At 59.3% G+C, this 13,040-nt stretch overlaps 1 protein-coding gene and 1 long non-coding RNA gene across 8 annotated transcripts, besides 2 other annotated features; one reads left to right on the top strand and one right to left on the bottom strand.

Annotated features, from left to right (window-relative positions):
• Positions 1-4,384: 4,384 nt before the first annotated feature.
• Positions 4,385-12,145, top strand: DPP7 (dipeptidyl peptidase 7). 7 transcript variants are annotated; one of them, XM_011518600.2, is made up of 13 exons: positions 4,711-4,772; positions 8,115-8,228; positions 8,313-8,448; positions 8,663-8,826; positions 9,195-9,330; positions 9,404-9,485; positions 9,572-9,738; positions 9,886-9,946; positions 10,461-10,579; positions 10,662-10,818; positions 10,937-11,001; positions 11,741-11,811; positions 11,908-12,145. In XM_011518600.2, the coding sequence occupies exons 1-13, from the start codon at positions 4,726-4,728 to the stop codon at positions 12,041-12,043; spliced, it is 1,455 nt and encodes a 484-aa protein (XP_011516902.1). In that variant the 5' UTR covers positions 4,711-4,725; the 3' UTR covers positions 12,044-12,145. The 7 variants fall into 7 exon arrangements, with proteins under 7 accessions (XP_047279237.1, XP_011516902.1, NP_001425039.1 ...); NM_001438110.1 differs by lacking the exon at positions 4,711-4,772 and adding an exon at positions 7,958-8,044 and having other exon boundaries at positions 8,309-8,448; positions 10,662-10,750; NM_013379.3 differs by lacking the exon at positions 4,711-4,772 and adding an exon at positions 7,958-8,044 and having other exon boundaries at positions 8,309-8,448.
• On the bottom strand, positions 4,913-7,892 carry LOC124902314 (uncharacterized). The gene is made up of 2 exons (XR_007061874.1): positions 5,647-7,892; positions 4,913-5,520 (listed from the first exon to the last, which is right to left on the bottom strand). It is a non-coding gene; the product is annotated as an uncharacterized LOC124902314 (long non-coding RNA).
• Positions 7,733-8,082: a silencer, noted in NCBI's record as "silent region_20581". NCBI's record gives its function as "represses an Ori minimal core promoter by ATAC-STARR-seq in GM12878 lymphoblastoid cells {active_cell/tissue: GM12878}" and the evidence as "EXISTENCE:reporter gene assay evidence [ECO:0000049][PMID:35858748]".
• Positions 8,113-8,262: a silencer, noted in NCBI's record as "silent region_20580". NCBI's record gives its function as "represses an Ori minimal core promoter by ATAC-STARR-seq in GM12878 lymphoblastoid cells {active_cell/tissue: GM12878}" and the evidence as "EXISTENCE:reporter gene assay evidence [ECO:0000049][PMID:35858748]".

Here is a 13,040-nt window from a genome sequence, read left to right as displayed (position 1 = left end):
AGTTGCATTTCTGTGCACCTGCAACGAACAGTCCAAAAAGGAAATGAAGAAAACGATTCTATTTATAACAACATCTAAAAAGTAAAATGCCAAGAAATAAATTTAACCAAGGAGGTGAAATACTTGCACACTGAAAACTACAACACATTGCTGAAAGAAATTAAAGAAAACCTGAATAAGTGCAAAGGACCCCTCGTTCGCGAGTAGGAAGACAGCATTGTTAAGATGTTAATACTTCCCTAAGCGATCCAAAACAATGTTGAAAAAGAACAAAGTTGGGCCAGACGCGGTGGCTCACCCGTGTAATCCCAGCACTTTGGGAGGCCAACACGGGCGGATTACGAGGTCAGGAGTTCAAGACTATAGGGTCCAGCCCTACTGTGCCTGTGTGTTTTTCTCTTCATGTGCAGAGATGAGAGATCGTAGAAATAAAGACACAAGACAAAGAGATGGAAGAAAAGACAGCTGGGCCCAGGGGACCACTACCACCAAGGCATGGAGACCGGTAGTGGCCCCGAATGCCTGGCTGCACTGTTATTCATTCGATACAAGGCAAGGGGGCAGGTAAGAAGTGTGAGTCGTCTCCAGCGATACGTAAGGTCATGTGAGTCACGTGTCCACCGGACAGGGGGCCCTTCCCTATTTGGTAGCCGAGGCGGAGAGAGAATGGGGACAGCTTATGTCATTATTTCTTCTATGTATTTCTCGGAGAGATCAAAGACTTTAATACTTTCACTAATTCTGCTACTGCTATCTAGAAGGCACAGCCAGGTGTACAGGGCGGAACACGAAAGTGGACCAGGAGCGTGACCGCTGAAGCACAGCATCACAGGGAGACGTTTAGGCCTCCGGATGGCTGCGGGCGGGCTTGACTGATGTCAGGCCTTCCACAAGAGGTGGTGGAGCAGAGTCTTCTCTAACTCCCCTGGGGAAACGAGACTCCCTTTCCTGGTCTGCTAAGCAGTGGGTGTCTTCCCAGGCACTGGCGTTACCGCTAGACCAAGGAGCCCTCTAGTGGCCCTGTCTGGGCATAACAGAAGGCTCACACTTGTCTTTGGTCGCTTCTCACCATGTCCCTTCAGCTCCTATCTCTGTATGGCCTGGTTTTTCCCAGGTTATAATTGTAGAACAGAGATTATTATAATATTGGAACAAAGAGTAATGCTACAAACTAATGATTAATATTCATATATCATCATATCTATATTCTAGTTCCAGTATAACTATTCTTATTCTGTATATTTTCTTTATTATACTGGAACAGCTCGTGCCCTCGGTCTCTTGCCTCGGCACCTGGGTGGCTTGCCGCCCACAGAGACCAGTCCGGCCAACATGATGAAACCCCGACTCTACTAAAAATACAAAAATTAGCCGGATGTGGTGGCGGGCGCCTGTAATCCCAGCTACCTGGGAGGCTGAGGCAGGAGAATCGCTTGAACTTGCGAGGCAGAGGTTGCAGGAGCCGAGATGGCGCTACTGCACTCCAGCCTGGGTGACAGAGCGAGACTCCGTCTCAACAAAAACCCAAAAAACAACAAAAAAAAGTTAAAACTATAAAACTCTTAGGAAAAAAACGGGATAAACCTTCACAACTTTTAATTTGGCAACAGATTCTTAGAAATGACACTAAAAGCACAAGCAACAAGAGACCAACAAAGTGGATGTCATCAAAATAATTTCTGCACATCGGCCGGGCGCGGTGGCTCACGCCTGTAATCCCAGCACTTTGGGAGGCTGAGGCGGGTGGATCGGGAGTTCAACACCAGCCTGGCCAAGATGATGAAACCCCGTCTCTACTAAATATCCAAAAATTAGTCGGGCGTGGTGGCGGGCGCTGTAATCCCAACTAAACTCTGGAGGCTGAGGCAGAGAACTGTTTGAACCCAGGAGGGGGAGGTTGCTGTGAGCCAAGATCGCGCCAGTGCACTCCCGCCTGGGCAACAGAGTGAGACTCTTGTCTCAAAAAATAATAATTTTTGCACTTCAAAGACAGTATCAACTGAATAAAGAAGCAACCCACAGGAAGATTTGAAAATAACATATATGACAAGGGATTGAGATCTAGATTATTTATTATTTAGTTATTTTTTTTTGAGACAGAGTCTCGCTCTGTTGCCCAGGCTGGAGTGCAGTGGCGCGATCTCGGCTCACTGCAAGCTCCGCCTCCTGGGTTCACGCCATTCTCCTGCCTCAGCCTCCCGAGTAGCTGTGACTACAGGTGCCCGCCGCTACGCCTGGCTAATTTTTTTTTTTTTTTGAGATACAGTCTCCATCTTTTGCTTAGGCTGGAGTGCAATGGCACGGTCTCAGGTCACTGCAACCTCTGCCTCTCAGGTTCAAGTAATTCTCCTGCCTCAACCTCCCGAGTAGCTGAGATTACAGGCGCCTGCCACCACGCCCAGCTAATTTGTGTATTTTTAGTAGAGACGAGGTTTTACCATGTTGGCCAGGATGGTCTCGTTCTCTTGACCTTGTGATCTGCCCGCTTTGGCCTCCCAAAGTGCTGGGATTACAGACATGAGCCCCTGTGCCCGGCCGAGATCCAGATGATTTTTTTTTTTTTTTTTTGAGACGGAATCTCACTCTGTCGCCCAGGCTGGAGTGCAGTGGCGTGATCTTGGCTCACTGCAAGCTCCGCCTCCCGGGTTCACGCCATTCTCCTGCTTCAGCCTCCCAAGTAGCTGGGACTATAAGCAGCCACCACCACGCCCGGCTAACATATATATATATATATATATATATTTGTATTTTTAGTAGAGACGGGGTTTCACTGTGTTAGCCAGGATGGTCTTGATCTCCTGACCTCGTGATCCACCCGCATCGGCCTCCCAAAGTGCTGGGATTACAGGCGTGAGCCACCATGCCCGGCCAATCCAGATGATTTTTAAAAATCATAAAACTCAACAAAAAACAACCCAATTCAAAAATGGGCGAAGGATTTGATAGGCATTTTTCCAAAGAAGACATACAAATGGCCAGTCAACACAGGGAAAATGTTCAACATCACTAATCGTTAGGGAGATGCAAATCAAAACCACAGGCTGGACATGGTGGCGCACGCCTGTAATCCCAGCACTTTGGGAGGCCAATGTGGGCGGATCATGAGGTCAGGAGATCAAGACCATCCTGTGTAGGGACCAGCCCTACAGGGTCAGTGGGTCTCGCCCCGTGTGTGGAGATGAGAGAGTGTAGAAATAAAGACAGAACACAAAGAGATAAAAGAAAAGACAGCTGGGCCAGGGGGACCACTACCACCAAGTCGCAGAGACCGGTAGTGGCCCCAAATGGCAGGCTGCACTGATATTTATTGGATACAAGACAAAGGAGCAGGGTAAAGAGTGTGAGCCATCTCCAGTCATAGGTAAGGCCATGTGGGTCATGTGTCCACTGAACGGGGGCCCTTCCCTGCCTGGCAGCCTAGGCAGAGAGAGGGAGAGGAGACAGAGAGAGAGACAGCTTACGCCATTATTTCTGCGTATCAGAGACTTTTAGTACTTTCACTAATTGACTACTGCTATCTAGAAGGCAGAGCCAGGTGTACAGGATGGAACATGAAGGTGGACTAGGAGTGTGACCACTGAAGCACAGCATCACAGGGAGACGGTTAGGCCTCCGGATAACTGCGGGCGGGTCTGACTGATGTCAGGCCCTCCACAAGAGGTGGAGGAGCAGAGTCTTCTCTAAACTCCCCAGGGGAAAGGGAAACTCCCTTTCCCTGTCTGCTAAGTAGCAGGTGTTTTCCCTTGACACTGACGCTACTGCTAGACCATGGTCTGCTTGGCAACAGGTGTCTTCCCAGATGCTGGCATCACCGCTACACCAAGGAGCCCTCTGGTGGCCCTGTCCTGGCATAACAGAAGGCTCGCACTCTTGTCTTCTGGTCACTCCTCACTATGTCCCCTCAGCTCCTATCTCTGTATGGCCTGGTTTTTCCTAGGTTATGATTGTAGAGTGAGGATTATTATAATATTGGAATAAAGAATAAGTACTACTAATGATTAATTATATTCATATATAATCATATCTAAGATCTATATCTGGTATAACTATTCTTGTTTTATATTTTATTATACTGGAACAGCTCATGTCCTCGGTCTCTTGCCTTGGCACCTGAGTGGCTTGCCACCCACAATCCTGACTAACACAGTGAAACCCCGTGTCTACTAAAAATACAAAAATTAGCCAGGCATGTGGATGTGCGCCTGTAATCCCAGCTACTCAGGAGGCTGAGGCAGGAGAATTGCTTGAACCCGGGAGGTGGAGCTTGCAGTGAGCTGAGATTGCGCCATTGCACTCCAGCTTGGGCAACAGAGCGAGACTGTCTCAAAAAAAAAAAAAAAAAAAAAAAAAGCAGGCATTTCACAGCCATGTTCATCGCATCAATATTCACAATGGCTAAAACAGGCCGGGTGTGGTGGCTCACGCCTGTAATCCCAGCGCTTTGGGAGGCTGAGGCTGACAGATCATCTGAGGTCAGGAGTTCAAGACCAGCCTGGCCAACATGCTGAAAACCTGTCTCTACTAAAAATGCAAAATTTAGCCAGGCGTGGTGGTGGGTGCCTGTAATCTCAGCTACTCCGGAGGCTGAGACAGGAGAATGGCCTGGACCCAGGAGGCGGAAGTTGCAGTAAGCCGAGATCGTGTCACTTCACTCCAGCCTGGACAACAGAGTGAGACTCTGTCTCGAAAAAAAAAAAGGACAAAATGCTGTAGGATTCCACTGATATGACGTACCTGGAGTCAGCAGAGCCACAGAGACAGATGGTAGAATGGTGAGTGCCAGGGGCTGGGGTCCATTGTTTAATGGCTACAGTTTCTACTGGGGGTGATGAGATAGTGGAAAATAGTGATGACGGTGCACAGCGTTGTGAAGGCAGGAATGTACCTAATGCCACCAAATTTCACACGCGGAAGTGGTTAAGTGGTCAATTTTATATTATGTATAATTCAGCACACAGACCAGCACGGCCCCAAGTGCGGATGCAGTAGGTCACGGCCAGCCGCCCGCCGATAGCCTTTCAGTCTGAGGGACAGCACAGACGTGATGTGTGGCCGGGCATGGCCCCCAGTCTGTGAGCCATAGAGGGTGGGACTGGGTGTCCCAGCAGGAATCGGGGTGTGGAGGAGCTGCCTAGATGGTCTGGAGAGGGCAGATGGACCTCGAGGGGAGGGTTTGGGCTCAGCAGCCTCTCACCCTTGCTGGCCAGGCTCCCAGGATTCCCTGCCCAGGGACCTCTCACCCCCTCAGCTGGTGGCTCTGCAGCCAACCTGCCCGTCTGTGCTGCTCCGGGGATGGGCAGAGAGAGATCGGGGGTGTCTGCACAGGCATGGGCAGCCTAGGCTCACTTGCCCCTTGGGTGACCTACTGTGCCCTGCACAGGCTGACGAGGGCCCTGGCGATGCAGACCTGGGGTCCTCCTGCAGAAGTTGGGCCCCTTCACATGTCAGGTTGCTGTGCCAGTGAAGGGGTGGCCAGCCCCTCCACACCTGTGGGTGTTTCTCGTCAGGTGGGATGAGAGACTGAGAAAAGAAATAAGACACAGAGACAAAGTATAGAGAAGGCAGTGGGCCCAGGAGACGGCGCTCAGTATACGGAGGACCCGCACCGGCCCCGGTCTCTGAGTTCCCTCAGTATTTATTCATTACCATTTTCACTATCTTTGCATGAGGAATGCGGCAGCAGAGCAGAGGTCAGCAAGAAAATGTGAGCAAAGGCATCTGTGTCACAAATAGCTTGAAGGGAAGGTGCTGTGCCCGGATGTGCACGTAGGCCAGATTCATGCTTCTCTCCACCCAAACATCTCAGTGTAGCAGAGTAACAGAGCAGCATTGCCGCCAGCATATCTCGCCTCCAGCCACAGGGCGGTTTTCTCCTGTCTCAGAATAGAACTAATGTACGATCGGGTTTTACACGGAGACATTCCGTTCCCAGGGGCATGTCGGAGACAGAAGCCTTCCTCTTATCTCAACTGCAAAGAGGCCTCCCTCTTTCACTAATCCTCCTCAGCACAGACCCTTTATGGGTGTCGGGCTGGGGGACGATCAGGTCTTTCCCTTCCCACGAGGCCATATCTCAGGCCGTCTCACTGGGGGGAAACCTGGACAATACCCAGGCTTTCTTGGGCAGAGGTCCCTGCGGCTTTCCGCAGTGCACTGTGTCCCTGGTTAATGGAGAATGGAGGATGGCGATGACTTTTACCAAGCATACTGCCTGCAAACACATTGTTAACAAAGCACATCCTGCACAGCCCTAAATCCCCTAAACCTTGAGTCAATACAGCACATGTTTCTGTGGGCACAGGGATGGGGCTAAGGTTACAGGTTACCAGCACAGGCCTAGATGCCTTAAACCTTGATTCCATACAGCATATGTTTCTGTGGGCACAGGGATGTGGGCAGGGGACTGTGGCCACCCTCACCCCTGGCAGAGCCATGCTGGGTAGCCCCATGCCCACCCTTCCCGGCTTGGGAGGCCCTGGCTGCTGCCCAGAGGGGCATCAATGCCTGGGCCGTGGACAAGAGGGAAAGTGGCTTCCTTGGAAACCCTGCTCCTGGAGCCCTCCCTGAGGCTCTGGCCCCTCTGTGGGCCCAGCCAAGCCTGGAGCGTCTCCAGGCTCTGGTGTGCTTGGGGAGCTGGCCAGCTCTCGGCCTAGCTGGCGTCTCCAGAGCTGCGGTCCTGGGTGAGGGTTGCTGGTGGAGTTCTGGCCACCTAAGGCACCCGAGGGAGCCAAAGGAGCAGAGGTGTGGGGTGGGGGACGCCGTGGGGTACCTCCACATCCAAGGAGGTCTGCTGTTTGTCCTCACCCCCGTCCTGCGGGGGCCCCGGCAGGCAGCCCCAGGAACTGCGTAGGGATGGGACAGGGCCCAGATGTGAGGGCCGTGGTGGGGACGGTGTGTGGCCCTGGATGACCTCGTGTTGCAGTGTGACGTGATGGTCACTGCCACCATGCTGAGGGCCCCAGCCACCAGTCACCCACCATGGGGGGTGCCTCTGTGTGAGGCACGGGAGGGCCATGGCGTGAGGGGCTGTGGAAGTGGCCGGTCTTCTCCGCTCAGCCCCACACAGGATGGGCAGGGCAGGGTCATGCTGGCCGAGGGTAGTCTTGGGAGAAGGACAGGGTAACTCTCTGTAGCTGAGCCCCTGCTGCCCCTGCACCTGTTCTGGGCCTGGCTAGCGGCCCATGTACATCCCCAGCAGGACTCCACGTAGCTAGTCTGGCACCCACCACTACGGCCCCCTCACCCACTCCCTGAACTGGACGCTGGGGAAAGGTGACTTCTTCCATCCTCTGGGTGCTCCCCAGGGAGGAGGCCCCAGCTCCCAGCAGAGGCCTCTGGTCCCCCCTTGTCCCTGCAGGGCTGTGTGGGCACACTGGGTGCCAGTCGGAAGGGCAGGTGGCGATTCCCAGCTCTTGGGAGCTACCCGGCCACATCCCGGCCCTGCCCAGACGCTCCAGGGGCACCCCACACTCCTGCCCGCTGCGAGGCCCCGCCCCGCCAAGCCCAGCCCGTTATCGCTTGGACAAACCCTGGGTTGCTTTCTTCGGGGGGCCAGCACTCTGTTTGGGACCCTCTCCCTCCCGCCCTTAGGGCAGCAGAACGGCCCCCACTCTCCCGGCCCTGCCTTGGAGTGGGGCACCTGCCAGGAGCAAGTGCTGGGGAGGCTTGGCGGGCGCAGCAGGGACTCGCCCTAGCGCAGCTCCGGATGGGGCCGCGGTAGGAGGACGAGCCAGTGGGGCGGGAGGCCGCGGAGATGGCCCGGGGGCCCTCTGCTTCCCCGCGCCGTGCCCGGGAAGGACCCCTGGGCAGCGGCCGCGGGGCGCGGGGTGTTGGGGGGCACAGCCCCGGCGCGGCGCTGAAGCAGCGACGGTCTCCGTGGGGACCGCGGGCGCCCGAAACACGTGGGGCCTGGAGGGAGGAGCGCGCCCTGGCGGCCCCGTGACCCCGCCCACGTGACGGGCGCCCGCGGAAGGCGACATGGGCTCCGCTCCCTGGGCCCCGGTCCTGCTGCTGGCGCTCGGGCTGCGCGGCCTCCAGGCGGGGGGTGAGTGGCGGCGCCCCCCGGCCCATTCCCCGGTCCCGGCCCCGCCTCTGAGGTTCGCGTCCCCCCACAGCCCGCAGGGCCCCGGACCCCGGCTTCCAGGAGCGCTTCTTCCAGCAGCGTCTGGACCACTTCAACTTCGAGCGCTTCGGCAACAAGACCTTCCCTCAGCGCTTCCTGGTGTCGGGTGAGACCCCGGCCCCGGCCCGGCCGCCCCCGCCGTCCCGCCGCCCCCCGGCACCCTCGCCTCATCCGCCCTCCCCACAGACAGGTTCTGGGTCCGGGGCGAGGGGCCCATCTTCTTCTACACTGGGAACGAGGGCGACGTGTGGGCCTTCGCCAACAACTCGGCCTTCGTCGCGGAGCTGGCGGCCGAGCGGGGGGCTCTACTGGTCTTCGCGGAGCACGTGGGTGCCGGGCGGGGTCGCGGGCGGGGTCGCGGGGCACGTGGGTGCCGGGCGGGGTCGCGGGCGGGGGTCGCGGGGCACGCGGGTGCCGGGCGGGGTCGCGGGCGGGGGTCGCGGGGCACGCGGGTGCCGGGCGGGGTCGCGGGCGGGGGTCGCGGGGCACGCGGGTGCCGGGCGGGGTCGCGGGGCCGGGCTCAATGGCACGTTCCCCCAGCGCTACTACGGGAAGTCGCTGCCGTTCGGTGCGCAGTCCACGCAGCGCGGGCACACGGAGCTGCTGACGGTGGAGCAGGCCCTGGCCGACTTCGCAGAGCTGCTCCGCGCGCTACGACGCGACCTCGGGGCCCAGGATGCCCCCGCCATCGCCTTCGGTGGAAGGTGGGCGCCTCCCCCGGCCTCCGCACCCCCTCCCTCCCCTGCCCCGACCCAGCGCCCCCAGCCCTTCTCCCCACTCCCCTCTGACTCCCACCGCTGCCTTTTCGTAAGGCCTCAGGCAGTGGTTCCAGGCTTAGTGTTGCCTCCCCCAGGAAGCCCTCCCACCTGTCCTCCCAGCCACCTGCTCAGCTTGGATGTGCGGCCACACTAGCGGCCTTTCCCAGTGAGAGCTGCACCCGCACCTGGCCCAGGGTTGGAATTTGTGGGTCTCAGAAGTGTCGTCCTCCTTGTGGCACCTGTGGGCCCCTGAGGAGGAAAAGAGGAAATGGGGTGTTGGGGGCAGCAGCCCTAACCCTGTGTCCCTCACCCAGTTATGGGGGGATGCTCAGTGCCTACCTGAGGATGAAGTATCCCCACCTGGTGGCGGGGGCGCTGGCGGCCAGCGCGCCCGTTCTAGCTGTGGCAGGCCTCGGCGACTCCAACCAGTTCTTCCGGGACGTCACGGCGGTGAGTGAGGCTTGGGGTCCTCCAGGCCCCCTAAGGGACAGCAGCTGCAGTCAGCACGGTCTCTTTCCCCCAGGACTTTGAGGGCCAGAGTCCCAAATGCACCCAGGGTGTGCGGGAAGCGTTCCGACAGATCAAGGACTTGTTCCTACAGGGAGGTGAGGTCCTCCCACCGCCTCCCACTGCCTGACCCGCCCCAGCGCCAGCTATGCCCAAACTTCAAGTCTCTGCCCCTTCCACGCAGCCTACGACACGGTCCGCTGGGAGTTCGGCACCTGCCAGCCGCTGTCAGACGAGAAGGACCTGACCCAGCTCTTCATGTTCGCCCGGAATGCCTTCACCGTGCTGGCCATGATGGACTACCCCTACCCCACTGACTTCCTGGGTCCCCTCCCTGCCAACCCCGTCAAGGTGAGGCGCCGCCTCCCAGGGCGCAGGGAGAGGCCGGCTGGAGTGTCCCGAGGCTGGTGGTCAGCGGCCTGACCCTCATCCTGGGAGCCAGGGAGGCGGAGCTGGTGGAGGGGACCCCGCTGAGTCGCCGCTGCCCCTGCACTCCAGGTGGGCTGTGATCGGCTGCTGAGTGAGGCCCAGAGGATCACGGGGCTGCGAGCACTGGCAGGTGCCCTTCCCCCGGCCCCAGATGGGCAAGTGTGGAGACCCCAGGCTTGGCTTGGGTCCTGGGGCCGGGTGGGGCGAGGATCCGCAGCCCGGCCAGGGGCTTTGCCTCCTGCCCCAGGGCTGTGGTGGGGTGGACAGCACGACCTTCCCAGAAACCCTGGGGGAGGCAGGGGCCGTCCCTGGGGACCCTCTCAGCACTGGCTGTAGCCAGGCCCAGCTTGGTGGGTGCTGCCCAAGGGGCCCCTGGGGTCCCCAGCATGGAGGGCAACAGAGGGCAGCAGGCCCCACCCTGCCCCGTGGAGAGCGGGGGGGCCCTCAACAGTCAGGCCCGGGGCTGGCAGCACAGACACCGCCGACCTCCAAGCAGGTAGCCTGGAGGGCCTTCCTCACTGGGACCTACAGATCCCAGAGCCCCAGATCCCCTGCAGGACCATTCCGAGGGGGGACAGGTTGGTGGCCGGAGCCCGCGGTGTGTCTGTGTGTGGCCGCTGGGCCCCAGCGCCTCTCCTCCCCAGGGCTGGTCTACAACGCCTCGGGCTCCGAGCACTGCTACGACATCTACCGGCTCTACCACAGCTGTGCTGACCCCACTGGCTGCGGCACCGGCCCCGACGCCAGGGCCTGGGACTACCAGGTGTGGGGGTGTGGGTGGCCTGGAACCACTCGGGGGCAAGGGTGGGCGTGGGCTGGCCTGACTCAGGCTGGGGCACCTGCAGGCCTGCACCGAGATCAACCTGACCTTCGCCAGCAACAATGTGACCGATATGTTCCCGGACCTGCCCTTCACTGACGAGCTCCGCCAGCGGTACTGCCTGGACACCTGGGGCGTGTGGCCCCGGCCCGACTGGCTGCTGACCAGCTTCTGGGGGGGTGGTAAGGCTGAGGGGGGGTGGGCCAGCGTCCTGCTTTCTGCCCCGAGCTCTGCACCCCCTGCCCATGGCTCACAGCCCCCGTGAGGGGCCCACATCACAACTTTCTCTGCCCCTTGCAGATCTCAGAGCCGCCAGCAACATCATCTTCTCCAACGGGAACCTGGACCCCTGGGCAGGGGGCGGGGTGAGTCCTGGCCTGGGCCCTATGACCCCGTTAGTTTGTTTGTTTTTTTTTTGAGACAGGGTCTTTCTCTGGCGCCCAGGCTGGAATACAGTGGCGAGATCAGGGTTCACTGCAGCCTTGACCTCTGAGGCTCAAGCCTCCCAGTAACTGGGACTACAGGCGCTCACCAACATGCCCAGCTAATTTAAAAAAATATTTTTTTGTAGAGACACAGTCTCACCATATCGCCCAGGCTGGTCTCGAACTCTTGGGCTCAAACGATCTTCCCCGCATGGCCTCCCAGAGTGCTGGGATCACAGGCCCCTCGCCTGCCCCTACCCTGCTCCCGTCTCACCCCCAGAGTGCTGGGATCACAGGCCCCTCGCCTGCCCCTACCCTGCTCCCGTCTCACCCCCAGAGTGCTGGGATCACAGGCCCCTCGCCTGCCCCTACCCTGCTCCCGTCTCACCCTCAGAGTGCTGGGATCACAGGCCCCTCACCTGCCCCTACCCTGCTCCTGTCTTACTCCCAGAGTGCTGGGATCACAGGCCTCACACCTGCCCCTTCCCTGCTCCTGTCTCACCCGGTTTTGCCCCCATCATCTCGTCACTTCCCACCTCCGTCTCTGGCTGGTTCTCTCTGGTTGCTTGATGGGCACTGAGTCTCGGCTCGCCCTCTCACGTCTCCTCTCCAATGGGCCCACGGAGGCTGGGCAGTTGCCTCGTTCCTCACCTGATGGAGTTCTTTCCACTGACCACAGATTCGGAGGAACCTGAGTGCCTCAGTCATCGCCGTCACCATCCAGGGGGGAGCGCACCACCTCGACCTCAGGTGCGGAGGGAGGTGGCCTGGCGGTGGTCGCGGGTCGGGCGGGACAGGCTCACCGAGGGCTGGGGCTGACGGGCCCCCTCTGTGCCCGCTCCCCAGAGCCTCCCACCCAGAAGATCCTGCTTCCGTGGTTGAGGCGCGGAAGCTGGAGGCCACCATCATCGGCGAGTGGGTAAAGGCAGCCAGGCGTGAGCAGCAGCCAGCTCTGCGTGGGGGGCCCAGACTCAGCCTCTGAGCACAGGACTGGAGGGGTCTCAAGGCTCCTCATGGAGTGGGGGCTTCACTCAAGCAGCTGGCGGCAGAGGGAAGGGGCTGAATAAACGCCTGGAGGCCTGGCCATGTATGTCCCGTCCTTCCTGTCTGTGGGGCCCACACGCAGGCTGTGGGAGCGGGACCCTCGGAGACACGGCTGGGGACGCGGCGCACCCCACACAGGCCGGGTATGCCATGTGCTCCACAAGGTAGAGGCTCCACAACGCTCAGGTCTGCTCCTTAGGGCAGCGGGGGGCAGTGCCCCGCAAGGAAGCCCCGCTCTGCTGAGCCGCAGCAGACAGAGGCTGCAGCCACACCTCCAAGGTGACTCCTTCCCTGACATCCTCTGTACACAGCGACCCCTCCAGGGGAGGCCACTGGACAGTGCTTTTGGCCCCCAAGGGGCATGCAGTTGCTGTCCCTCCACCCTCTGGGACCACGCCCCCAGCACGTTAGTCTCGGAGGTCTGGGTGAGATGGAGAAGGTGCACCTTTTCCGGCTGTTGAGGCCCCACCTGCTGCCCTAGTCCTGCCCGTTCAGCCGGCCATGGGGCACCTGGTCCAGGAGGGCAGCACTGGGCCCACCGTGACAAGGGGCGGGCTAGGGTGGTACTGACAAGGGGCAGGCTAGGGCCGTGCTGGGCCCACCGTGACAAGGGGCAGGCGCCAGGGTCACATGACAGCCGATGTTCTCACCTTTCCAGGCACAGAGGGTGGAGTGCAGGATCAGGGCCCAGCATGAAGTGGGAGACGAAGCCCCAGGGTGCCCACTGTCCCCAGAGGGACACAGGTGGCTGCTGTGGGATGTTGGGGGTTGTGGGGACAGGCAGAGCCGAGGCCCACACTCGGGGCCCGGACGTCCCGAGGGGCGGAGCTGGCAATCCTGGGCTGGGTCCGGGTAGCCCTGCCCTGTGCCGCCACCGGCTCTGGCTTCCCAGGGAAGGGGAGTCTTCCGGAAGTGAAGGTGATGGATTTTTCACA

Source organism: Homo sapiens, chromosome 9 (assembly GCF_000001405.40).
Source record: "Homo sapiens chromosome 9, GRCh38.p14 Primary Assembly".
Taxonomy (NCBI): Eukaryota; Metazoa; Chordata; class Mammalia; order Primates; family Hominidae; genus Homo; species Homo sapiens.
Note: the sequence above shows the minus strand (reverse complement) of the source record. Positions and strands in the feature narration are given on the sequence as shown.